Source organism: Homo sapiens, chromosome 5, assembly GCF_000001405.40.
Source record: "Homo sapiens chromosome 5, GRCh38.p14 Primary Assembly".
Classification (NCBI taxonomy): Eukaryota; Metazoa; Chordata; class Mammalia; order Primates; family Hominidae; genus Homo; species Homo sapiens.
The window spans coordinates 149,960,694-149,988,562 of NC_000005.10; the positions used below are offsets into that span (position 1 = coordinate 149,960,694).

Consider the following 27,869-nt stretch of genomic DNA (forward strand, 5'->3'; position numbering starts at 1 on the left):
GAGTTATTGGCTGGTGGTAGCGTCGCTCGCCCGGCAGTACCACGTGACGGCCTCGGCCGCGGGCGTTTACACTGGCTCTGCCTCCGGCATCTCTTCGCCGGTGCGTCCTCGCCGCGCCCGTAGGTCCCGGCAGCCGGGCCCCGCCTCCTTCGGAGTCCGAGCGATGGGCGGGGAAAGGGACAGGCAGGTATAGCTCTGTCGGCGCCGCGGTGTCCACCTCAGTCAGGCCACGGTGGAAGACGCGTGCCGCGGCGCCTGGTTGCCTGCAGCGGCCCGGACCCGAGAGGTGAGAAGAGGGAAGCGGACCAGGGAAGAGGGAGGGAGCGGTGCTGGCCGCCAAGCGGTCAGCGGGCCCCTCCCAGAGTCATTCTGCCTGGGTCCCCGCGCGGTAGAATCCCAGATCAGGGGTCGCCGCCGTGGAGCGGGGCGTGCGTCAGGTTATTTCCCGGGTGGTCCGGGGCCGGGCGAGTGGCACTGCACCCTGGTGATCCGGGCCTGCCCGTCTGGCTGGCGGCTGCCCACCCGCCCTCCATCCCGCGTATCTCGCCGTATCTCGCCGGGTGCCACGCACTCCGCTGCTTTTCCAGTCCTCGTTGATCCGTCTCGAACCTAGATATCTGGAATAGGGATCGAGGAGATAGGAGCCACCACCACCTCGGACAGATGGGGAAACTGAGGCCGGCACAGGCGAGACGGCTTGGTTATCTTGGTTATTAAAAATCACACACCCGATTAAGTACAAAATCAGGACCTGTTCTTTCGGACTCACACACTAAGTTGGTATTATTTCACTGGATGGATGGAAACACTGAGAAGACAGAGAGGGCCCAGAGCCTTGCCTAAAAATACACAGCAAGTCTTTTGCAGAGCTAGGACTTGTACCCAGCTCTCCAAACTCATAGACTATCAGCCTGGGCTCCTTCCTTGCACAGATTGGGGATCACAGTGAGTTAGAAACATTCAGAACTTAAATTGCCTTCCGGCGCCCATTCTAGTTAACCTGTCTTTTCTCCTTGTCCCCAACAGTTCTTTATGTGAAATCTACAACTAATGTGATATGCAATACTAGATTAAGCAGAACTTTTTGTTTTTGAAAATTGAATCAATAAGAAATGGAGGGCCAAAGCTGTGGGAAAGGAATGGACCCTTTAAAATCAGGAATCTCAAGGCAGGATATAGCAAGGGACAGAGACTAATAGCTGTCGTTTATTGAGTAAATGCTATGTGCCAGGCACTGTGGTAGGTAGTTGTGTTAGCCTTACAAACCAGCAAGTTAGGTAATGTTACCCCATTTTACAGGTCAGAAATTGATGCTGAGTACAGTGAAGTTTTACAAAACCATTGCCATATGACTGCTGAGCAGTATAGCTGGGATCTGAACAGAGATCTGTTTGACTTCCAGAACACATCCAGTGATTCTCCAAGTGTGGTCCTAAGCTCACTCGTTCAGCATCATCTAGCGTGTGGAGTCCTGGATCTCATCCTTGGATTTGCAGGGATGGTCCTAAGAAGCTAACGGCTCTCTGTATTTGACAATTATTGTACTGTAATGTGCTGCCTCCTAGGGGAAGATCTAGAGGTGAACATACTCTGGGCTAGGGGTAATTTTTGAGGGAAAAAAATCACTTTTTTTTAATTTCTGATTTGACTTTTTTTTTTTTTGAGACCAGGTCTTACTCTGTCATCCGGGCTAGGAGTGCAGGGGCGCGATCTAGGCTCACTGCAGCATTGACCTCGTGGGTTCAAGCAAACCTTCCACCTCAGCTTCCTGAGTAGCTGGAACCACAGGTGCACGCTGCCATACCTGGCTAGTTTTTGTAGTTTTTGTAGAGATGGTGTTTCACCATGTTGCCCAGTCAGGTTTCAAACTCCTGAGCTCAAGCAATCCTCCTGCCTTGGCCTTCCAAAGTGCTGGGATTACAGGCATGAGCCACTGTGCCCTGCCCACACTTTTATTTTTTATTTTCCCCCATGATTGACAGAAGGATAATCACGCTTTTAGTGAATGTAAACCCCCAGGCAGATGCTTGCCAAGCTTAATTTCTTGACATAAGCTTGGTTTTGGCATGTGGGGGCGGAAGAGTGGGGTTGGAGAGTTAAGTGAGAATGGGGAAAGTAACTCCTTTTTCCTTATCATATAGCTGTTAAATTCTAATTCACTCAACAGATACTTGCTAAGCATTTATTAGGTGCAAGACATGTTCAAGACACTGAGAATACAGCTTTGAACAAAACAGAGCAAGTCAGTGCCCTCATGTGAAAGACAATTAACAATGTGTGGTATGGAATGGTGAGAAGAGCTATGGAGAAAAATAAAGGGCATAGGAGTGCAAGGCAGGGCTGGGCCCAGGAGGAAGACATGGAAATGGCAGCAATGGCAGTGGTGCTATATTTATTTATTTATTTATTTATTTATTTATTTATTTATTTTTTGAGATGGAGTTTCACTCTTGTTGCCCAGGCTGGAGTGCGGTGGCGCCATCTTGGCTCACTGCAATCTCTGCCTCCTGGGTTCAAGTGATTCTCCTTTGTCAGCCTCCCAAGTAGCTGGGATTACAGGCACATGCCACCACGCCTGGCTAATTTTTTTTTTTTTCTTTTTTTGAGACAGAGTCTCACTTTGTCTCCAGGCCGGAGTGCAGTGGCGTGATCTTGGCTCACTGCAACCTCTGCCTCCCAGGTTCAGGTGATTCTCCTGCCTCAGCCTCCTGAGTAGCTGGGACCACAGGCATGTGCCACCACGTCCGGCTAATCTTTTTATTTTTAGTAGAGACGGGGTTTCACCATGTTGGCCAGGATGGTCTCAATTTCATGACCTCGTGATCCGCCTGCCTCCGCCTCCCAAAGTACTGGGATTACAAGCGTGAGCCACCGCGCCTGGCCTAATTTTTTGTATTTTTTAGTAGAGAGGGGGTTTCACCATGTTGGCCAGGCTGGTCTCGAACTCCTGGCCTCAGGTGATCCACCTGCCTTGGCCCCCCAAAGTGCTAGGATTACAGGCATGAGCCCCTGCACCCGGCCTGCTATTTTGCATATTTGTTTAACTTTTTTTTTTTTTTTTTTTTTTTTGTGGAGACAAGATCTTGCTATGTTACCCAGGCTGGTCTCGAACTCCTGGCCTCAAAGTGATCTTCCTGCCTTGGCCTCTCAAAGCGCTGGGATTACAGACATGAACCACTGTGCCTGGCCTCTGTTTTATATATTGTATCTAGGAAGGGACCGATTTATATAAGGTGTCATTTGAGGTTGGGCAATGAGCAAAGGCCCCAAGGGCAAAGGCTGCTTGATATTTTCATGGACTGGTGATTGGAACACTAGTGCATAGGAGGAAGCAAGACAGTGGCAGTTTTAGGCTCATGCATAGAAGCTTATACCAATGTTTTTAGACCATATTTGGTAGGAGATAGGGAGCCAGTGCAGATTTTTGGGGAGCATATCCAAATGGTTGACCTCATCTTGCTAATGAATGCTTCTTTTGAAGAAGAGGCATAGTGCTTTAAAAATGTAGGTTCAGGCTGGGCTCTTCCTTTGCTCATGCCTATAATCCCAGCAATTTGGGAGGCCGTGGCAGGCAGATCACTTGAGCTCAGGAGTTCAAGACCAGCCTGGACAACACGGCGAAAACCTGTCTCTACAAAAAATACAAAAAAATAGCTGGGCATGGTGGCGTGCACTTGTGATCCCAGCTACTCAGGATCGCTTGAGCCCAGGAGGTGGAGGTTGCAGTGAGCTGAGATCATGCCACTGCACTCCAGCCTGGGTAACAGAGTGAGACCCCATCTCAAAAATAAAAATAAAAAATAGCCAGGCGTGGTGGCTCACGCCTGTAATCCTAGCACTTTAGGAGGCCGAGGCGGGCGGATCACGAGGTCAGGAGCTCGAGACCATCCTGGCTAACACGGTGAAACTCTGTCTCTACTAAAAATACAAAAAATTAGCCAGGTGTGGTGGCGGGCACCTGTAGTCCCAGCTACTTGGGAGGCTTAGGCAGGAGAATGGCATGAACCCAGGAGGAGGAGCTTGCAGTGAGCCAAGATTGTGCCACTGCACTCCAGCCTGGGCAACAGAGTGAGACTCTGTCTCAAAAATAAAAAATTAAAAAAAAAATGTAGGTTCAATATTAGAGGAAACTGAGTGACCATTATACAGGAACTGTGTACTATTTTTACAGCTTTTCTGCAAGTCCACAGTTATTTCAAAATAAAAATTTTTTTTAAATGTAGGTTCAATAAAGTGTTTAAGGCTGAACTATGCCTGCAACTTTCAAATAGTTGAAAAACAATAATGACAAAACCCATATAAGTATGGAGAGAGAGTGTGTTAACATCTTATGAACTGTAAAATTGCTAAATAGGTGAATTGTTAGTATGGAAGTGTTCCATGTATCATTCTTTCAACTTTTCTGAAGATTTAAAAACAGCTTCAAAATAAGCAATCAAGCGACAGTATACGTTTGAATCAGGCAGGCTTGTTCAAGTCATGATTCCCCTACTTACAAGCTGTGTGTGGCTGGGCGCGGTGGCTCACGCCTGTAATCCCAGCACTTTGGGAGGCCGAGGCAGGCGGATCACAAGGTCTGGAGATGAGACCATCCTGGCCAACATGGTGAAACCCTGTCTCTACTAAAAATACAAAAATTAGCCGGGCATGGTGGCAGGCGCCTGTAGTCCCAGCTACTCAGGTGGCTGAGGCAGGAGAATCGCTTGAACCTGGGAGATGGAGGTTGCAGTGAGCCGAGATCACACCACTGCATTTCAGCCTGGGCAACAGAGCAAGACTCTGTCTCAAAAAAAAAAAAAAAAAAAAAAAGCTGTGTGAAGTATTGGAAAATTATTTCTAAACTACATATTCTAGTCTAGTTTATTTTTATTAAAAATATATTTTTAATTATTTTTTTTTCTTACACTGTAGCTCTTACCAGTCTAGTCTGAGATTTTTCCATATAAGAGAGGAGACTTACTTTGGTTGTTGACTTGTTCACATTAATGCTGGGTTAATGTTAAGACTTCAGGTTTTCCACAAACTTGAGATCTTTAGGTTGTTTTTAGGTCGACTCTAGTTTTCCTGTAATTATCTGATGTATATACACTTACAGAGACTGGCATAGGCAATCTATTAGAGGAAAAAGGTTAGGAGTCAGGATACTTGGGTTCTGGATCCATCTCTGCCTTTAAGTAGCAAATGATTTCACTAATCTGAACCTTTATTTATTTATTTTATTTTATTTTTTGAGACAGAGTCTTGTCTGTCACCTAGGCTAGAGTGCAGTGGCGCAATCTCAACTCACTGCAACCTCTGTCTCCTGGGTTCAAGTGATTCTTGTGCCTCAGCCTCCCAAGTAGCAGGGATTATAGGCATGTGCTACCACGCCTGGCTAATTTTTGGATTTTTAGTAGAGATAGAATTTCACCATGTGGGCCAGGCTGGTCTTGGACTCCTGAGCTCAAGTGATCCGCATGCCTCGGCCTTCCGAAGTGCTGAGATTATAGTTGTAAACCACTGGTACCCAGCTGAACTCTTATTTCTTACCAAAAAATCATGGCGGTTGGATTTCTTGATCTCTGTCTAGCTCTAAAGTCCTGTAATTCAGGAAAACTACCACTTAATGATTTGATCATTTAGTTTGAACTGTCTCATGGTTGGGACAGAGGGTTATGACTTGCCTGGAGTCCAGGGCTCCTGACAACAGGTTACTTTTTCTACTGACCCTCACTGCCTATGGTTTTAGATTGTGTTATGTGTTAAAAGCAGTTACTTAAACACACATACACAAACATGCATATCACACCATATTTACAACAGGTTGTGAAGCTCAGTTTTAAATGGCCTAGATTTCTTAGGAAAATCCCAGTACAGGTTGAGTATCCCTTACCTGAAATGCTTGGGACTGGCAGTGTTTCCAATTTCTGAATTTTTTTTTTTAATATTTGTTTTATACTTACTAGTTGAGCATCTCTAATCTGGAAATCCAAATTGCTCCAGTGAGCATTTCTTTTGAGCATCATGTTGGTGCTCAAAAGTTTCAGATTTTGGTGCATTTTTGATTTTGGATTTTTGAATTAGGGATACTCAACCTGTATCTGATTAATATGTCATCAAATCTATCCAATGAAGCTGTCATATTTTAAAACTAAATATAACTGTTTTTAGAAAAATATTACAAAAAGAAATAAAACCTTGCTTAGATACTTCCTCCCAAAGTTGTGTGTGTCTGGGGACTTAAGAAATACATTTCCCAAGGCTGCGTATCCAGAGTATTGGAACATTCAGTGACGATTTCTTAGGAATTGAAATATAAACTGCAATTGAAAACAAAATGACTTAGCTGGGCACAGCGGCGTGTGTCCATAATACCAGCTAATCTGGAAGCTGAAGTGGGGGATTGTTTGAGGCCAGGAGTTCAAGGCTGCAGTGAACTATGATCATGCCACTGCACTCCAGTCTGAGCAACAGAGTGAGACTGTGTCTCTTAAAGAAAAGAAAAAGAAAATTATGTAACAGGTTATATTCAAGCTACTCTTTTCCCCTTCAGATAAGAATTAGACTTTATAGCTTTATTGTAGTATAATTGACATACAATAAGCTGTACATATTTCAAAGGTACTCTCTCTATATATATACATAAAACTGTCACCACAATCAAGATAGTGAACATATCCATCAATCCCCAAAATCTCCTCATGCCCCTTTGTAATCTCTCTCTCCTACCCCACCTTACTTCCTATCCCGAAATAGCCACTGATTTACTTTCTGTCACTATAAATTAGTATAAACTTTTTTTCTTTCTTTCTTTTGGTGGAGGTGTCAGGAAATGAACTTGAGGACTGATTAGTTTGCATTTTGTAAAGTTTTTGTCCCTGAAATCTCCTTCATCTAATATTAATGTAGTGTACAATGCAGTGGCATGAAGTACGTGCACAATGGTGTGTAACCATTACTACTATTTATTTCCAAAACTTGAAATGGAAACTCTGTAACCAGTAACACCACTTCCCCCAGTACCCAGTAAACTCTATTTTCTTTCTCTATGTATATGCCTATTCTCTCTCTCTCTGTGTATATATATATTTTTGTTGTTGTTGTTGTTATTCTGTCACCTGGGCTAGAGTGCAGTGGCATGATCATAGCTCACTTCAACCTTGACCTCCTTGGCTCAAGCAATCCTCCCTCCTCAGCCTCCCAAAGTGCTGGGATTATAAGCATGAGCCACCCTGCCTGGCCCATTTTGCCTTTTCTAGATATTTTGTATAGGTAGAATCATACAATACTTGTCCTTTTGTGTCCTTTTTTTTTTTTTAGATCCAGCTCTTTTTTTTTATTTTTTATTTGTTTGCATCGTGTCTGTCTTTTGCTTAACATAAGGGTGTTAAGTTTCCTCCATGTTGTAGATGAAGAGTATCAGAACTTAATTCCTTTTTAATAGTCAAATAATATTCCATTTTATGGTTATACCATGCTTTATCTGTTCATCTGTTGATGGACACTTGGATTGTTTTCACCTTCTGGCTATTGTAAATAGTGCTGTTATGAACATTAGTATACAAATATCTGTTCGAGTTACAGTTTTTAGTCCTTTGAGTATAAGCGGAATTACTAGGTCATATAGCAGTGCTGTGTTTAACTTTTTGAGGAACCACCAAACTGTTTTTCACAGTGTTGGCACCATTTTACATTTCTACCAGCAATGTATCAAATGTATCAGCTGTTTTTTTTTAATTTTATTTATGTTATTTTTTAGACAGAGTCTCGCTCTGTCACTCAGGCTGGAGTGCAGTGGCGCAATCTTGGCTCACTGCAAGCTCCGCCTCCTGGGTTCACGCCATTCTCTTGCCTCAGCTGCCTGAGTAGCTAGGACTACAGGCGCCCGCCACCATGCCTGGCTAATTTTTTTTTTTTTTTTGTATTTTTAGTAGAGATGGGGTTTCACCATGTTAGCCAGGATGGTCTTGATCTCCTGACCTTGTGATCCGCCTGCCTCGGCCTCCCAAAGTGCTGGGATTACAGGCGTGAGCTACCGTGCCCGGCCTCAACTGTCTTTTTTTTGAGACGGACTCTCGGTCTGTTGCCGCAGCTGGGGTGCAGTGGCGCGATCTTGGTTCACTGCAACCTCCACCTCCTGGGTTCAAGTGATTCTTTGTGCCTCAGCTTGCTGAGTAGCTGTGCCTCAGCTTGCTGAGTTACAGCTGTGCAGGTGTACACCACCACACCCAGCTAATTTTTGTATTTTTGGTAGAGACAGGGTTTTGCCATGTTGCCCAGGCTGGTCTCGAACTCCTGACCTCAAGCGATTCACCCGCCTTGGCCTCCCAAAGTGCTGGGATTACACGTGTGAGCCACTGTGCCCGGCCTCAAATGTCTTTTAAAGAAACAAAAATTTTTGTCCAACAAAAGTCAAAGCTAATTCTTCTTGGAAAAGTTTTTGTTAAAATAACTTTTTAAAATAAAAACCATTCTGTCCATCAAAAACTTTATTAGATACTTCCTGTATGTGCCTAATTCTATGCTAGGTATTATGATAGTACACAAAAAGTGTAGAACATCTTGAATAATTTTAATCTAGTTAGGAAGATAAAGCACATATTCAACAAACGTTTATTGAACATATAAATGGAATTCAGCAGAGAATGAGGTACTGTAGACCTTTCACTCTGCCCCATTTATTTTTCCAATTTTGGCTTCTCTCCTGTACTTGAGAACCACATTTCTAATTGCCTGCTGGACACACCATCTGGACATATTATAAAAATCTCAAATCTAAAAAACCCAAAGTCAGATTTTTTGCTGCTTCCTATCTTTCCATTTTCTTCTCCATCTTCCTGTATATCATCCTTCCTTTTGTGTGATCCTTCTCAGATTTCATCTTAGATTTGTCTGTGTATGTCCTTTAAGCACCACCTCTTACCTAGTTGTACCACTGAAATGGCAAACCTCCTGCCCTTTCCTGCCTTGGAAGTTAGGCCTTTGGTAACTGTAGCTTAGAGGATGAACTCGTGACTTCTTGGAATTGCATAAAAACTAATCCTTCACTCCAGCCTTATCTCCTACAACTTCACCCTTGGAACCTAGTGTGACCTTTTCCTGGGTCTTGGACTATACTGTGATCTTTCACTTGCCTGAGTTACCTTTTCCCTTTCTATTAACGTTGCAGCTTCCTACTTCACGTTGGCCTGCAGTGTATTCTCCACTCTCAGAATACTCTAAACCTTTCTGTTATGGTACCTAGAATGCTGTTTAAAACTCTGTCTTAATCCACTGATTTTGGGTAGAAATTGGGTTATTACTCATTTTAGCAAGAATTTACTGAACCTCTACTGTATGTGCTAAGCATCGTTCTTGATAATGGAAATATAATAAGTACAAGAAAGACTGTAAATAATAGTTTTGCTTATAAGTAATATAATTTCAGAAGTCTGAAGTGCTATGAAGAAAATAAAGCCAGATAAGGATATAGGGAATGCTGGGAAGGAGGTGTTATTTTATTTGGTTGGGATGGTCAAGGAAGGTTTCTGTGAGGAGGTGACATATAAACTGAGGCCAGGCATGGTGGCTCACACCTGTAATCCCAGCACTTTGGGAGGCAGAAGTGGAAGAATTGATTGAGCCCAGGAGTTCGAGACCAGCCTGGGAAACATAGCAAGACCCTGTCTCTACAAAGAAATAAAAACAAATTAGCCAGGTATCGTGGTGTGTACCTGTAGTCCTAGCTACTTGGGAGGCTGAGGTGGGAGGATTGCTTGGGCCTAGGAGTTCAAGGCTGTAGTGAGCTATGACCATGCCACTGCACTCTAACCTGAGTGACAGAGTGAGATCCTGTCACTAAAAAAGAAAAATAAAAGCTGAGACCCAAAGGATGAGAACATACCTGTATAGATCTGGGAGATTATTATTCTAGGCAAAGACAACTTGAGCAAGTACAGTGACCCTAAGAATGGAATCAACTTGGCATGTTCCAGCAACTGCAAAAAAGCCAGTAGGAAATAAGGGCAAAAAGGGAGGCAGTGTTCAGATCTTGCAGGCTATTAGAGTATTCCAGGTGAGAGAGGATGGTAGGACAATAGTGAGAAGGGATTGGATTACAAATAGTTTGGGCAGTGGGGAGAGGATAAATATATTATTCAAGGCACAACAGACAGGATTTACTGATGGATTATATATGGGAGCATGGCATAGGGGAAAGAAAGATTGACACCTAAGTTTGGGGTCTAGGTTCTGATGCATTGTGTCTAGCACAGTGGTTAGCTTATAGTAGGAGCTTAAAATATGTGTGTAATTTAATGAAGACCAGTACCCAACCTCTAGGAGCTCACATAGAAAAGTTAGCCAATCCAGCTGGAGAAGGCTTGTTGACACTTGAGGACATTAATGGAGTAAGCATGGGTTGCAGGCCCATTTAACACAGATGGATCTGAGTTTTCCTCTGATGAGTTGTTGTCTTTTCCTCCAAAGGATCCTTTTCCTCTCACAGTATTAACTTCTCAGTCTAGGGCAAGGGCCTGGAAAGTAGCCTGTGCCATCCTGGTTGTAGGCATCAGTGAATGAAATGGAGAGGAATACAGAAGGCTTTGCTCATCCTTGGCATCCCTGGGCCTTTATAGTGCTGTGATCTTCCCTGGACTTGTCTGACAACAGTGAGTTAGAGGATCCGATGGTACTATATACATGGAGAATCTGTCTTGGTTGTACCTGTTTATAGTTTAGTTTTCTTTTTCTTTTTTCTTTTCTTTTTCTGAGGGTCTCATTCTGTCACCCAGGCTGGAGTGCAGTGGTGTGATCTCAGCTCACTTCAGCCTCCACCTCCCAGGTTCAAGCGATTCTCCTGCCTCAGCCTCCTGAGTAGCTGGGATTACAGGCGTGCGCCACCACGCCTGGCTGACTTTTCTATTTTTAGTAGAAATGGGTTTTCATCATGTTGCCCAGGCTGATCTCGAACTCCTGGCCTCAAGTAAGCCACCCGCCTCAGCCTCCCAAAGTGCCGGGATTACAGGTGTGAGCCACTGTGCCTGGCCTAGTTTTGTTTTTCTAAAACCACCTTCAACTATTTTTTATCTGTAAAAGACAAAAGGTAAAATATTAGTTGCTTTAGTGGAAAAAGAATGAAATAATATAACATCAGACCAGAAGATATATGATTATTTGCCAAATGAGTGATATAGTAAGTGACTTTCTCAAAATCTTTCAGGGCCTATGCATTGCCTGCAGATTCAAGTCTAGCTTTCTTAACCCGGCATAAAGGGCCCTCCAGAATCCCCCTCAGGTACCTTTGTAAGCTCCTCCCACTAATCCCCCATAACCATTCTCTGTTTTAAACATAACATTCTCATTTCTGATTCTTTTCCTCCAACATTAGAACTATTGCTGTTTGTGTTTTCTTCTCCCTTACCCATATTCCAAGTCTTCTTTCATCCTTTCAAACCTGAACTAGACTTCAGAGCCCAGGTTAGATATGTTCCTCCCTTGAAAACTTTCTAAACAAACTATTCTTAAACTCTTTCATATTTCTCCCCTGCTTAGATGCCATAATCATAGTAGTCAGCAGCTTCTAGTTTTATTTAGCAGTGAGTTTGTAGCATACATACAGAGGTAAACCAAAGCATGATTATGGAACTTTGTGGGTTCATACTTGTAGGACTGTTTCTGAGTGAATACATAAGTTTCTAAGAGCTAGAGATGGGAAAGGACCATGGCCATGAATGTAGAGAAAGGGAGAGTTGGGAACAACATTGTTGATATTATTACTGGATCACTTTGTGTAGCAGCTAGGTGAAACTGGAATGTGTAGAGTAGCTGAATTTTAAGGTGTTCAGAAATATCTGAAATTAGAGAAGCTAATTATAGATAGGTGGTAGGAGTAGTACCATATTAAAAAAGGATCTATTCTTGGGATCCCAAAATATGCATTTTATTACCTTGCTCTGTCATTTATAAGCTGAATAAATTACTAAATTGGGCCAGTCCTTTCACTTTTAACCTATGTATGTCTTTATATTTAAAGTGGGTTTCAAGTAGACAGCATATACTTGGGTCTTATTTTTTAATCCTATCTGACAGTCTCCATTTTTAATTAGCATGTTTAGACCATTCATATTTAATACGATATGTTTGGATTAAACTCTACCATCTTACTGGCTGTCTTCGTTTGTTCCATCTGTTTTTTATGTTTTATCTTCCTTTTCTACTTTCTCTTGAGTTGAGAGTTTTTTTATGATTCTATTTTATCTCTACTATTATTACTTATACCTTTTTAAAAATGTAGTGGTTACTCTTAGGTTTAAATGTACATGTTTAATCAGAGCCTATGTTCAAATAAGATACCATTTCACATCTAGTATAAGACCTTACAGTTTGCTGGGCATGGTGGCTCATGCCTGTAGTCCCAGCACTTTGGGAGACCAAAGTAGGAGGATCACTTGAGCCCAGGAGTTTGAGACCAGCCTGGGCAACATAGTGAGACCTCATCTCTATTTAAAAAAAATAATAATAATCAGAAAATTTTAAAAAGACTTTAAAATTCCCAATTCCCCCTCCCATTCTGTGTGGTTGTTGTCACACATTTATTTTGCATATGCTATAAAGTACATTCCCATTTTTGGTTTAAACAGTTATCTTTTAGAGCAATTAAACATTTTTTAATTGAAAAAATGAATTTTACTTTATCTTCATTTGTTCCATTTCCTGGACTTTCTTTGTTATGTAGAACTGAATTTCTGATTGGTGTATTCTTTTTGGCTAAAGAACCTTCCTGAAACTGTCTCTCTCTCTCTGTGTGTCTCTCTCTGTGTTTCTCTCTCTTTCCCCATCTCTTCTTCTCCTTCCCACTCCCTCTCTGTCTCTCTCCCTGTCTCCCCTCATCTCTCTCTCCCGTTCCCCCCACATATATATGGTGCTGGTCTGCTGGCCTTAAATCCTCTCAGTGTTTATCTGAGAAAGTTTTTATTTCTTTTTCATATTTTATTTTATTTAAGACAGAGTCTCTCCCTGTCACCCAGGCTAAAGTGCAGTGGTGTGATCATGGCTTATTGCAGCCTCAACCTCTTAGGCTCAAGCAGTCTCCCTACCTCAGCCTCCCAAGTAGCTGGGACCATAGGCACACACCACCATGCCTGGCCTCTTATCTTTTAAAATATTTTTTCTAGGTAAAGAATTCTATGTTAAAAGTTATATTTCTGGGGTCAGATGTGGTGGCTCACACCTGTAATCCTAGCACTTTGGGAGGCCAGGGTGGGAGGATCACTTGAGGCCAAGAGTTTGGGAACCAGCCTGGGGAGCTTAGTAGCAAGACCTTGTCTCTACAAAAAAAATTAAAAAATGAGCCAGGCTTGGTCGTGCACACCTGTAATCCTCACTACTCAGGAGGCTGAGGTGGGAGAATCACTTGAGCCCAGGAGTTCGAGGCCATGGTGAGCCATAATTGCATGTCACTGCACTTCAGCCTGGGCAACAGGGCAAGACCCTATTTCTATAAAAGATATATATTTCTTTGATACAAAGATACCACTCCATCATGTTCTGGCCTCCATGATTTCCAATAAGAAGTCTGCTATAATTCTTATTTTTGTTTCTGTATAAGTAATATATGTTTTTTCTTTGTCTTCAGGATTTTCTCTTTATCTTTTGTTTTCAGCAGCTTGAATATCATATGTGTAGGTGAGGGTTTTTGTTTTCTTTTTGTTTTTATATTTACTCTTCTTGGAATTCTCTAAGATTCTTGGAGATAGATTATATATTATATATATATGTATTTTTTTTTTGAGACAGAGTTTTGCTTTGTCACCATGCTGGAGTGCAGTGGCGCGATCTTGGCTCACTGCAGCCTCCGCCTCCCAGGTTCAAGCAATTCTCCTGCCTCAGCCTCCTGAGTAGCTGGGACTACAGGAGCGCACCACCATGCCCAGCTAATTTTTGTATTTTTTTAGAAGAGACGGGGTTTCACCATGTTGGCCAGGATGGTCTTGATCTCTTGACCTTGTGATCTGCCTGCCTTGGCCTCCGGAAGTGTTGGAATTACAGGTGTGAGCCACTGCACCCGGCCTTTTTTTTTTTTTTTTTTTTGAGAAGGAGTTTTCCTCTTGCTGTCCAGACAGGAGTGCAATGGCGTGATCTCGGCTCACTGCAACCTCCAGTTCCTGGGTTCCAGCGATTCTCCTGCCTCGGCCTCGCGAGTAGCTGGGATTACAGGCGTGTGCCACCATGCCTGACTAATTTTATATTTTTAGTAGAGACCCTGTTTCACCATGTTGGTCATGCTGGTCTTGAACTCCTGGCCTCAGGTTACTTGGATCTATATTTTGATGTCTCTTATTAATTTTGGAAATTTCTTGGCCATTATATCTTGAAATATTTCTTCTGCCCATTCTCTCTCTTCTTTTGGTATTCTAATTATGCATATGTTTGATACTTTGATGTGTCCCGCAGCTCTTGGATGTTATGTTACATTGTTGATATTGGGGGTTTTTTGTTTTGTTTCGTTATTTAAACTTTTCTGCGTTTTAGTTTAGCTAATTTCTGTTTATCTGTCTTTTTGAGTTCATCGATTCTTTCTTTGGCTTTCAGGTCTAGTAATGATCCTATCGAAGGCATTCATCATCTCTGTTACTGTGTTTTTCACTTTTAGCATTCCTTATTTGATTTTTTCTTACAGTTTCCATTTCTTTGTTTTACTTTCTATGTGAATTTTTATCTATATTCTTCCCAGATAGCAGCCATACTGGGCAAGATTTGGATTCCCTTAGTTTTTTCTTATGTCTCTTTTGCATATCTTAGGTTTGGAAAAACCTTTTCACCCAGAAATCACCAAGAGCTCTCCAAAATAGGACGTTGGTGCACTCAAGCTAGCTCTAGAAAGCAGGAAATGACAGGAGAGTCACAGACTGGTTGCATTGTAGAGCAAAGAGCTGCTGGGTGTATCCATCAACCTGATTGATTTTCTCAGGGTCAGTGGTCACCTAAGTCTATTCTTTCTTTCCTTATCTACTTCAGAAGACCATCAAAATATTTACTCATGTTAAACCTAAACAAAATGAATATGGGTTACTTTTACATATCTTGTGTTCTTGAATAAGTCATAGGTCCTGGATTTTGGCAGTTTGGTAACGTAAGGTTTATAGAACTTCACAAGGGCCCATTTTTCTGTCAGTTCCAAAACAAGAAACTTCCTGAGTCCTTCATCTAAAATATATTGTCTCGGCTGGGTGCAGTGGCTCGTGCCTGTTATCCCAGCACTTTGGGAGGCTGAGGCGGATGGATCACCTGAGGTTAGGACTTCGAGACCAGCCTGACCAATATGGTGAAACCCTGTCTCTACTAAAAATGCAAAAATTAGCCAGGCGTGGTGGCATGCACCTGTAATCCCAGCTACTCAGGAGGCTGAGATAAGAGAATTGCTTGAACCCAGGAGGTGGAGGTTGTAGTGAGCTGAGATTGCACCACTGCACTCCAGCCTGGGCGACAGAGTGAAACTCTGTCTCAAAAAAAAAAAAAAAAATGTCTCTATCTGGCCACAGTCACAAATGTTTGTTCATTTGTTCATTCATTCATTCAAATGTTTTGTAAGCCTGCTATCTCAGCGTTACTACATTCCATTCAGATTACACTGATGAACAAGATGTCTTTCCTCCAGGAGCTAGAGAGATTCCTACTTCACTAATACAAGAGTGTGGTTAGTACTCTAATGGAGGTGCAACATGCTATGGGACACAGAGGGTGTAGTATTTCATTTGGGCTAGGGGAGATTGGTTAGTGCTTTCTGGAAAAGGTAGCATTGTAACTGGGTTTTAAAAAATTATTAGGATCTTGACAGGCAAAGAGGTGGATGGCCATTCTAAGCTAAGTAAACAGCTTATGTAAAGGCACTAATTCATGAAGCATTTGGTAAACAATTTATGTTCTATTCCTTTGAGAGCCTGGTTCATTTTCTTCTCTTACTCCGGTTATTAGACTTACTATTTGTTGTTGTCCTTTCTCTTTTTCTGGCTATTTTTACCTCCTTTGTTTTCCTATAGTTCCTCATGGTAGATCTTATGGCATTAGTTTTATAGTCTAGGACACAGAGATGAAGGATCACCTGTATTGCCTCCAAGTGGAAGTGCAGGGCAACATTATTTCTCTATTTAACCTGTGTTTCAGTGTGTGTACTTAGAATAGTAAAGTGAATCTTGCATGAATGTAGGCCCTGCCCACAGGGCAGATGACTCCATACTAGAACATAGTGGAATAGACAAAAACCTTCTACAGCATGTATGAGACACTTGGCCCATCGACCCTCTTCATGCCCTTTACATTCAGCACCCTCATATTGACTTCTCTCTCCTCTTTCCTACCAAGCAAGGGAGTACTGTTCAAAGACGCAAATGCATTCTGCCCTAGTTTCTTTTTATTGCTAAAAACATTTATCTTTACCCTACAACCTACTTTTCTATTTATTTTCAACATTTAGCAGGTTGTTTAAAAAGGGACCAAAAAATAAAACAGGACCATCTTCCTTGTTTCAGGGACTGGTAGGCAGGCATTAAGGTTAAGGTAGGGGTTAAGACCAGATCCTATTTTGCAGTCTGCCTGGGAGGTGAAAAACCTGGGAAGAAGACCGCTGGTAGCATATGTATGGAAAGGAGACAGGCTGCCCTTACATCTTTTCAGGAGGAAAAACTGCCAGGGGGAGCCAGGCATATATGGAGAAGAATCCTTAATGGTTTATACTCTTGGGAAGTCCTGTACCCAGCCAGTTATTTGCTTTGACTTGGCTGTTTAAGGTCTGGTTCTGGTCTTTTTTTTTCCCCCTAACCAAGACAAATGAGGCTCAATTAAGGAAAAGGGACATAAGATACCTATTCCAAAACTGAATTCCTTTTAACTCTCATGAAATGACAAATAGAATTGTTAGTATATGTGAGCACTGAGAATTACTTTATTGATGAACACTGGTATTTTCTCTGGTGTAGGAAGCTGAACCATCTATCTCCAGAAATGTCTTCAGAAAGTAAAGAGCAACATAACGTTTCACCCAGAGACTCAGCTGAAGGAAATGACAGTTATCCATCTGGGATCCATCTGGAACTTCAAAGGGAATCAAGTACTGACTTCAAGCAATTTGAGACCAATGATCAATGCAGACCTTATCATAGGATCCTTATTGAGCGTCAAGAGAAATCAGATACAAACTTCAAGGAGTTTGTTATTAAAAAGCTGCAGAAGAATTGCCAGTGCAGTCCAGCCAAAGCCAAAAATATGATTTTAGGTTTCCTTCCTGTTTTGCAGTGGCTCCCAAAATACGACCTAAAGAAAAACATTTTAGGGGATGTGATGTCAGGCTTGATTGTGGGCATATTATTGGTGCCCCAGTCCATTGCTTATTCCCTGCTGGCTGGCCAAGAACCTGTCTATGGTCTGTACACATCTTTTTTTGCCAGCATCATTTATTTTCTCTTGGGTACCTCCCGTCACATCTCTGTGGGCATTTTTGGAGTACTGTGCCTTATGATTGGTGAGACAGTTGACCGAGAACTACAGAAAGCTGGCTATGACAATGCCCATAGTGCTCCTTCCTTAGGAATGGTTTCAAATGGGAGCACATTATTAAATCATACATCAGACAGGATATGTGACAAAAGTTGCTATGCAATTATGGTTGGCAGCACTGTAACCTTTATAGCTGGAGTTTATCAGGTAAGCAGCAATGAAACAATTGGTTATTTCTAGAAAAGTAATCTAGTACATGAAATCTCATATCTCTAAGGGATCTGAGGAATCACAATAATTAAAGGTATCATTTATTGAGAGTTCAGGATATATGAAGGGTAGAGGCAAAATTCAAACCCTAACCTGACTCCACAGGTAATATAAGGCTGGTTCACTGGACCTCCACCACCCAGTACAACTCCTTAATTTTACATGTCAGAAAATCTTGGCTTTGCTTGAGATTATTTGTGGCTGGTTATTGGCAGAGTCAGCATTAGCAGTTAGGCAAGTGGGTAACAGAATGGAGTTGAGAGTGCAGGAGTTTCTCACTTTTTTTTTTTTTCTGGAGACAGGGTCTCACTCTGTCACGCTGGAGTGCAGTGGCACTATCTTAGTTCACTGCAACGTCCGCCTCCCTGGCTCAAGCAGTCCTCCTACCTCAACCTCCTGAGTAGCTAGGACTACAGGCACATGCTACCACACCTGGCTAATTTTATTTTATTTTATTTTATTTTATTTTTTATTTTTATTTTTTGTAGAGACAGGGTTTTGCCACGTTGCCCAGGCTGGTTTCAAACTCCTGAGCTCAAGCAATCCTCCCGTCTTGGCCTCCCAAAGTGCTGGGATTATAGCCATGAGCCACCACACCCAGCCTCAAATTCTAAATGTCTCTTACCTTCCATTAAAATTGCTGATCTATTGAGCAACTCTTACTAAAGGTAGTGGTTGTCTTGGATTGTTGGGGAGGGAGGGAAAAAGTTGGGGACCACAGTTTCATATTATCAGCCAGGAGAAAGGATAAGAAATCAAATTCTTGAGTCTCCCATAGAATCCACTAATCTGTCATTATCATCATGCCCCTGGCTTTTGGCATCCAGGAGTCAGTGCCAGGATTAAACCTTCTCTAATGCAGGCATTTCAAACCAACAAGGGAAGGGGAAGAGTAGCTCACTTTAGTTGGTGCTCAGATGAGTGGGGAGGGAGAGTGAAGATGGTGTGAAGATGAGCTGTCTACTCATATATAATGGTAAATAATAAGTCTACTTACTTATTTATTATTTATTCATTTATTTATAAAGAGACAGGGTCTCTCTATGACCAAACTCCTGGGCTCAAGTGATCCTCCCAATATTGCCTCCCCAAATGCTGGGATTACAGGCATGAGCCATCACGCCCAACCAACTTTTGCCTTTTTGTTAGTATGTCCCACCAAGAAGGAAGAAGGCATAACAATTCTGAAAACTTATTAGACAGAGGAAAATATAAAGAAGTAAAAATGCAGAATTTTTATTAATATGGGAGACAGTGTGGCATAAGTACATATATACTGCATGAGAATGGTTTCTTAGTATGAGGTTAAAGATAATCTACAATAATTTTTAAAGTGTGATTCTACTTTGATGTAAATCTAATTTTTTGTTTTACCAATTAAAACTTCACTTGTACACTTGCTCTTAGCCAAGAGGCTGAGAAGCCGTAAGACTTCACTTTTACAGTAGTGATTTGTAATTTAAGGAAAATACTTGGTTTCTTAACTAGAATAATTTTTTCCAATTTGAAGTTTTCTTGTGGATCCTTGAGAATGTTTTTCTTTTAAAAGAGGTCTGTTCTTTGTGATGGGAAGAATGAAAAAAAAAAGAGGTATGAACCTTATTCAAGTTTAAGAAACGTATGAAAAGAAAGAAATCCAAAGTTCCTGTCTCACCTGGGTTAATAAGTAACAGTGTGACCTTGGGCAAGTTGCTTAGCCCTTTAAACATAATTTTCATCTTTGTAAAATGAGAAGATTGATATATGATTGTGTTTATTCTAGCTCTGACATTCTGTGATGCTCTGATGATATGTCTCCATGCAAGAAATGTCAGGATAATATAAAATTTAGAAGTTCTTTTCCATTTATATTTAACACTTCTATATCCTTCCTTCCAGGTAGCGATGGGCTTCTTTCAAGTGGGTTTTGTTTCTGTCTACCTCTCAGATGCCTTGCTGAGTGGATTTGTCACTGGTGCCTCCTTCACTATTCTTACATCTCAGGCCAAGTATCTTCTTGGGCTCAACCTTCCTCGGACTAATGGTGTGGGCTCACTCATCACTACCTGGATACATGTCTTCAGAAACATCCATAAGACCAATCTCTGTGATCTTATCACCAGCCTTTTGTGCCTTTTGGTTCTTTTGCCAACCAAAGAACTCAATGAACACTTCAAATCCAAGCTTAAGGCACCGATTCCTATTGAACTTGTTGTTGTTGTAGCAGCCACATTAGCCTCTCATTTTGGAAAACTACATGAAAATTATAATTCTAGTATTGCTGGACATATTCCCACTGGGTTTATGCCACCCAAAGTACCAGAATGGAACCTAATTCCTAGTGTGGCTGTAGATGCAATAGCTATTTCCATCATTGGTTTTGCTATCACTGTATCACTTTCTGAGATGTTTGCCAAGAAACATGGTTACACAGTCAAAGCAAACCAGGAAATGTATGCCATTGGCTTTTGTAATATCATCCCTTCCTTCTTCCACTGTTTTACTACTAGTGCAGCTCTTGCAAAGACATTGGTTAAAGAATCAACAGGCTGCCATACTCAGCTTTCTGGTGTGGTAACAGCCCTGGTTCTTTTGTTGGTCCTCCTAGTAATAGCTCCTTTGTTCTATTCCCTTCAAAAAAGTGTCCTTGGTGTGATCACAATTGTAAATCTACGGGGAGCCCTTCGTAAATTTAGGGATCTTCCCAAAATGTGGAGTATTAGTAGAATGGATACAGTTATCTGGTTTGTTACTATGCTGTCCTCTGCACTGCTAAGTACTGAAATAGGCCTACTTGTTGGGGTTTGTTTTTCTATATTTTGTGTCATCCTCCGCACTCAGAAGCCAAAGAGTTCACTGCTTGGCTTGGTGGAAGAGTCTGAGGTCTTTGAATCTGTGTCTGCTTACAAGAACCTTCAGATTAAGCCAGGCATCAAGATTTTCCGCTTTGTAGCCCCTCTCTACTACATAAACAAAGAATGCTTTAAATCTGCTTTATACAAACAAACTGTCAACCCAATCTTAATAAAGGTGGCTTGGAAGAAGGCAGCAAAGAGAAAGATCAAAGAAAAAGTAGTGACTCTTGGTGGAATCCAGGATGAAATGTCAGTGCAACTTTCCCATGATCCCTTGGAGCTGCATACTATAGTGATTGACTGCAGTGCAATTCAATTTTTAGATACAGCAGGGATCCACACACTGAAAGAAGTTCGCAGAGATTATGAAGCCATTGGAATCCAGGTTCTGCTGGCTCAGTGCAATCCCACTGTGAGGGATTCCCTAACCAACGGAGAATATTGCAAAAAGGAAGAAGAAAACCTTCTCTTCTATAGTGTGTATGAAGCGATGGCTTTTGCAGAAGTATCTAAAAATCAGAAAGGAGTATGTGTTCCCAATGGTCTGAGTCTTAGTAGTGATTAATTGAGAAGGTAGATAGAAGAATGTCTAGCCAATAGGTTAAAATTTCAAGTGTCCAACATTTCCCAGTTCCACAGTGGGAAATTTTGCACACTTGAAATTTTAACCAAGTGGCTAGATATTATTCCTCCTTTGAAGCTAATGGCATTTGTATATACACACTGCAGCAGAGCTTGTAGCTGGACAGAGTCAAAAAGAAGAAAATACGGTTTCAGGCTTTCTTGCAGATATGAAGTATTCTTGGAATGCAATAAGTATGTATTGAACTGTACTGTAAAGTAGCTCCAAAACTTAATTACTCTCCTGTTTTAGGGGTTATACATTTGGACTGTGCATTCTCCAAGAGATGAAGCGGTGAAGTTGGGATTTACATTGGAAGTGCTGTAGACTTCTTTATGTGGCTCAGTGGAGAGAGGGAAAGAATGTTGCACCTGCTCTAGTACCATAGGTCAAGAGGCTTCTGGATCACAAAGTCATAACTAGACAGGTTTGTTCTTGTAGTTTTCTATCCCCAGTCTTTGCTCCCCAGATGGCAGTAGTTTTTAGTAGGAAAGTGCCATTCCTGTCCTTAAGGCACAGTCTCATCAGAAGTCTAATACCTGGGCAGGTTTATAACATCCTGAGAGCCAGCCTGACATTAGACAGAATACCCTTTGTAATACATTGGAAATTTTTACTCATGCCTTTTTGTTTAGGATAAATAGGTAAGCACAAAGAGCTCTTCAAAATCAGAAAAAACAATAGGAGTCCTTCCTTGTCTTTTCTGTGATCTCTGTCCTTGTTTCTGAGACTTTCTCTACCATTAAGCTCTATTTTAGCTTTCAGTTATTCTAGTTTGTTTCCCATGGAATCTGTCCTAAACTGGTGTTTTTGTCAGTGACAGTCTTGCCAGTCAGCAATTTCTAACAGCATTTTAAATGAGTTTGATGTACAGTAAATATTGATGACAATGACAGCTTTTAACTCTTCAAGTCACCTAAAGCTATTATGCAGGAGGATTTAGAAGTCACATTCATAAAACCCAAGTGCTATGGGTGTATTATTCATGATAGCTGGCCCACAGGTCATGAATTGAGGAGGAATTTGCTTTCAAAAAGCAAGAATGTCCAACACTGAAAGTTTATAGTTTTATATTTGGACCTTGAAAGGTAAGAAAAAACCAGGTTCTCCAAAGTTAGGAATAGGGAACTAATTTATGAAACAGCCATCTTAAAAAAAAAAAAAGTAAACTGCAAAAGTACAAAATCATTTTTCAATCTGTTCCCAGTTTCTAAACAATTTTAAATATTTATGAGAAGCAAACCCTATGTGTAGGGCATCTGTTGGAGTGGGATGCTTTTAGACATATATTAAGTATGTACATGTTTAATATGTATATTTAAAATGCATATATATTTTATTATATCTATATTATCCTATATAGATATATGTAACTTAGCTTTATTGTTAGCTCCATAAGCTGCCAGTGTTGCTTTTCTGTTGGTAGAGCTCTCCCATTTGGTGACATGGAAAATACCTTTCCATTATCACAACAAAGCAGTTGCTCAGTAGAAAGTCTAGATTTCTGTCTTATAGGTGATTTCTGTCTTATAGGTGATTATAATCAAGTGTAGGCTTCCTGAATTTTGACATCCTTTTAGAACTTGGGTCTGGAATTCCAGAAATGTTAATTGCTGCTTGTATTTGTTCTTGTTTGTTTTTTAGCCAGTATTTGCCCTTTCTATCCAGCCTTATGAATAATAGCAGTAAAATCACAGTATCTTGGTCAGTCTTTATTTTTTTCCTTTTTTCTTTTTTAAGAGACAGTCATCCAGGCCAGAGTGCAGTTTGATGATAGCTTACTGAAGCTTCCCACTCCTGGGCTCAAGTTATCCTTCCATTTTGGCCTCCTGAGTAGCTAGACCATAGGTATGCATCACCACACCCTGCTAATTTTTTAAATTTTTTTCTAGAGAGAGGGTCTCACTGTGTTGCCCAGGCTGGTCTCAAACTCCAGGCTCAAGCAATCCTTCAGCCTCAGCCTCCCAGAGTGTTGGGATTACAGGCGTGAGCCACTGCACTTGGCCAAGTTATTTATTTTTAATCTCTCTTGCCCTTCTCCCAAGGCAGGCTTAAGTTGAGACTATTATAGGTGTCTAATAACCTGTGACAGAGTAATGAGTACATGCTTAAGATGTTATAATTAGCCAACACCAACACAGCAAAAAATATAATTCCAGCCAAAGATTCTGGAAAATCCCTCAGAAGGAGGGATAACAGGATTTGACCTTTACCAGCGATTTCTGTCCATATGTGGATGTAAACAGTTCTGGAACGTTATGCATGCAGTTAGCGAATCCTTGAATTATGTTCTGGTTTGTACTTGTCCCATCCATCCAAACAAGAGATTCTGCTTTTGGTAGCCATCTGTAGAAACATTTAAGATGTCACTAGAATTTACATTTCATCCTCTCTACTTGGGTTGAGGTTGCCTATACTTGCATATTGTTAAAATGTTTTGGTTGCTGATATTCAGAGGAATGAAACCTGGAACCAAAGCCTAATTTGCCGATAAAAAAACTGTTTTCGGCCAGGTGCAGTGGCTCATGCCTGTAATCCCAGCACGTTGGGAGGCCGAGGCGGGTGGATCACCTGAAGTCAGGAGTTCGAGACCATCCTGGCTAACACTGTGAAACCCCGTCTCTACTAAAAATACAAAAAATTAGCGGGGCATGGTGGCACGCGCCTGTAGTCCCAGCTACTCAGGAGGCTGAGGCAGGAGAATTACTTGAACCCGGGAGGCGGAGGTTGCAGTAAGCAGAGATTGTGCCACTGGACTCCAGCCTGGGTGACAGAGCGAGACTCCGTCTCAAACAAACAAACAAAAAACTGTTTTCATTTGCTCTCTTGACCAAAGGATAGGACTTTAGTTCTTTAAGCATTATTTTAAACACTATATTGATACAAAAATATCTTGCTTACTCTAAACTTTAGAGTCTAAATGAAGCTTTTTCTCAGTACAAGATTCTGAGTATCATAAAATGGTTATTTAATTGAAACGTAGTGTGGTATACTCTTGATGGTTAGAACTCTTACAGCCTTATTTATTTTTAAGTTTGTTACAGCCAAAGGGTTGGAGTGTGCCAGTGCACAGGTAGACTAAGGAAAACATTATAGAGGAGTGAAGAGAACAGACCATTGAAAAGACTATTATCTGACCAGCGGAGGCAGAAAAGAGAGGAACCCAGTTGAATAGGATCCAATCCCTGGTTAGCCTCTACACAATAATAGGGAGACAAGGATTAGGAGCCATACCTCCCAGAGCAAGGTATCTTTCTAGAGCAAATTTCTCTTTCTAGAAGGGGAGGGTCACAGGGTCACAGATTCACCAAAGCTGAAAGGGCTGAGGAGCTCATGGTAGCCTGGGCTGACCTACTCTGGAGCACGGTGTCTTCCTTCTAAACTGAGTGACTGTAGTACTATCTGTGCCTCTGATGGTAATAAAACTGACAAGATGTCTAATTTTTTTTTAAGTAGGACCAAAGGAAAACAAGATTTAGATAGTCTGACTTTGCTTTTGAACAACAGACATTGCAAGTCAAAATTGTTGTCAAATTTACATATGGTAAATGATGAACTTTAAAAATGTGTCCAGGTGTTAGATGAGTTCATTAGACTCTTTTAATGCTAATGGCTAGTACGTTTAAACAAAACAGCAGTTCTCTGCTGCAATATTCCCATTGACCACTTAAATGACCATAAGTGGTCATTTAAGAACATGTTAGGGTTAGCCCTGATCTGAATATAAAAGTGAGAAAAGGGCTACAGTGCATTTCTTGGTAACTTAAACTGAGTCTTGAAGTTATAATGATCCATTCGAGTTCTGTGATCCTTATTGTTCTTAATTGTGTTTCTCTACGTATTGTTACAGATGAGCCATACGTTTCTTTGTATCAATGTAGACATGACTTCAGATACCTCTGAGGACCTACCCAGCAGTCTAGGACCCTGGGCCAAGTGCTGGGACTATGGTACTAAATCCAGTAGATGGGCTGTGTAGCAACTCTCCCAGGGAACACACTAGGGTACTTAGGGAGGTGCTTTGTGGAGCATGTTGAAGCTTTGAGATCTGAGCAGGAGGCAGTGATGTCCCTGGTCTATTCAGGGAAAGATTTCAGTGTGAAATGGTAAACATCCAATTGACAGGATTTAGATTTTGCTTAGTTTTTCTGCTTTTTAATGTTTCTATCCCCCATCTCAGTGTTTTCTTTATCCATCCCAGTGATGCCTTATTTGAAACTGGGCTTAAACTGCAAAAAGAATGAAGTTGGATTTAGGAAGCTGTTAGATCATTGAGTGGTGTTGAGAGTGAAGTTTCACTAGCAGGGAAGTTTCCTTGAGCCTAAAATAAAAAGAAAAAATTAAAAAGAATCAGTTTTTTTAATTAAAAAAATAGAAAGCTGTTAGGCTCCTAATTCGTGGGGTTTTTTTTTGTAAAAACAGTTTAGATAATCCTGAATGCAATCATTAACTTGGTTGCTAATTACAAGAATGAAAATTATAATGGAAAAGGACAAAATAATATACCAGCTGGTTTGTTATTATAGTCCGTGTATTAAAATACTATTGAAATACGTTAAAGGTAAATTTTTAAGGTTTAAAAAAAATTTAGTAACTTACAGGGATGGAGAATTTAGATGTCAGAGGTGGGGAGATTTATTTTTATAAGGTAATTTTTATCCTGATAAGGACTTAAAAAAAAGTTTTGCAACTGAAATTTTAAAGTAAACATGTTAAGTACAGTTAAAAAGTAAGCATTGTAGTAAATAGTGGATTCTCTGGTGTGTATTTTTTATCTCAGTGTTGAAAATTGGAAAAGAATGGACTGAAGTCTAAAAACTGGAATAATGAAGGACACTAAATGCCTTTATTGTAGATACTATGTTTGTAAGTCTATAGCTAAGCAACTTAAGCCAAAAAGGTCTTTCAACTGAAGCTTTAATCAACTTATTTTGGAGATGTTCTCTTCCCTTATCTCATGCGTCATCCCTAAAATAATAAGATACATGGGATCAAATAGCCCTTGCCTTTTCAACACAAATCAGTTGGAAAATTATGGTTTGAGTCCTGTTGCTGCCATGGCTTCTGTTTCTCAGAAATGAGTGTGTATGAACATACCAATCTATGTAATAGGCTACCTTTTTTTGTCTTCTTTGGAACTTTGTACACAAACCAAGACAATATCAGGGTGACAGGTGAATGAACTTAAATTCTCAGTCTTGTCTATTCACCAAAAAAGTATACTGCCTGTTTTTTCTTTAATTATTCAAGGTTGATGACTTTTAGGAACATGTTTTATACTGTATTTTTTAATTAAAGCAAGTGCCTTGATGTAATTCCATGTAAATCATTGCTTAACCCTCTTATGGGATGAGGATGAGTTATTAATGTATTGCAGCCTACTGGAAAGGAGGGGGAGTTGGTTAATAGCAGATACTTTTCTTCTAGAAGCTTATGTTTTATGCTGTTTATTATGTAAGATCCTGTATGTGTGTTGAGATTTAGAGGTTTCATTTGTTTTGTCTGCTAATAAATTGTTACTCTAATAATACATTACTCTGTATTTAAATTATTTAAGTGCAAGGAGGGTTCTGACTAAAACACATTTAGGCCCCAGTGAGTTTTAAAATACCATCTGTTGGCCAGGCTCAGTGGCCCACACCTATAATCCCAGCATTTTGGGAGGCTCAGGCGGGTGGATCACCTGAAGTCAGGAGTTCAAGACCAGCCTGGCCAACGTGGTGAAACCCCGTCTCTACTAAAAATGCAAAAATTAGCTGGGTTTGGTGGTGCACACCTGTAGTCCCAGCTACTCAGGAGGCTGGGGCATGAGAATTGCTTGAACATGGGAGGCAGAGGTTGCAGTGAGCCGAGATCACACCACTGCACTCCAGGCTGGGTGACAGAGCGAGACTCTGTCTCAAAAAAATACATAAATAAAATAAAATATCATGTGTTAGGCTGGGCACGGTGGCTCACGCCTGTAATCCCAGCACTTTGGGAGGCTGAGGCAGGTGGATCACGAGGTCAGGAGTTCAAGACCAGCCTGGCCAAGATGGTGAAACCCCGTCTCTACTAAAAATACAAAAATTAGCCGGGCGTGGTGGCAGGCACCTGTAATCCCAGCTACTCGGGAGGCTTGCGGCAGAGCATTGCTTGAACCCAGGAGGCAGGGGTTGCAGTGAGCCAAGATCAGGCCATTGCACTCCAGCCTGGACGACAGAGCGAAACTCCATCTAAAGAAAAAAAAAATCATCTGTTACATTTGGAGAGTAATTCAGTCATTAATGTTTCCCAGTCATAACAAAAGGATCTGTCCTCGGAGAAGGACATAAAGAAATCCAATTCTTTTTCCTTTATGGTCTTGAATGAGTCACTTAAACCTTTGGTGAAGAGGGGAGGAGGACTAGATTGCTTGAGGACCCTTTCTGTTTTTTGTTTGTTTGTTTTGAGACAGGGTCTTGCCCTGTCGCTGAGGCTAGAAGTGCAGTGGCGCAATCATGGCTCACTGCAGTCTTGACCTGGGCTTAAGCAATCCTCCTGCTTCAGCCTCCTGAGCAGCTGGGGTTATAGGTGTGTGCCACTACACTCCGGCTAGTCTTTTCTATTTTTTGTAGAGACGGGGTTTTACCATGTTGCCCAGGTTGATCTTGAACTCCTGGGCTCAAGCATTCCTCCCGCCTTGGCCTTCCAAAATGCTGGGATTATAGGCG

The 27,869-nt window shown here is 41.3% G+C and overlaps 1 protein-coding gene across 2 annotated transcripts, besides 1 other annotated feature; it reads left to right on the forward strand.

The window, feature by feature from the left end:
- Positions 1-120: a silencer, noted in NCBI's record as "silent region_16504". NCBI's record gives its function as "represses an Ori minimal core promoter by ATAC-STARR-seq in GM12878 lymphoblastoid cells {active_cell/tissue: GM12878}" and the evidence as "EXISTENCE:reporter gene assay evidence [ECO:0000049][PMID:35858748]".
- SLC26A2 (solute carrier family 26 member 2) lies at positions 65-26,707 on the forward strand. 2 transcript variants are annotated; one of them, XM_017009191.3, is made up of 4 exons: positions 65-286; positions 16,935-17,658; positions 19,600-21,132; positions 21,236-26,707. In XM_017009191.3, exons 2-3 carry the CDS (start codon positions 16,960-16,962, stop codon positions 21,118-21,120), a joined length of 2,220 nt encoding a protein of 739 aa, XP_016864680.1. In that variant the 5' UTR covers positions 65-286; positions 16,935-16,959; the 3' UTR covers positions 21,121-21,132; positions 21,236-26,707. The 2 variants fall into 2 exon arrangements, with proteins under 2 accessions (XP_016864680.1, NP_000103.2); NM_000112.4 differs by having other exon boundaries at positions 19,600-26,707.

Coding starts and splice junctions, on each gene's coding strand:
- SLC26A2 (NM_000112.4), top strand. CDS start 16,960: ATGTCTTCAGAAAGTAAAGAGCAACATAACGTTTCACCCAGAGACTCA. Junction 17,659..19,599: donor TTATAGCTGGAGTTTATCAG/GTAAGCAGCAAT, acceptor CCTTCCTTCCAG/GTAGCGATGGGCTTCTTTCA.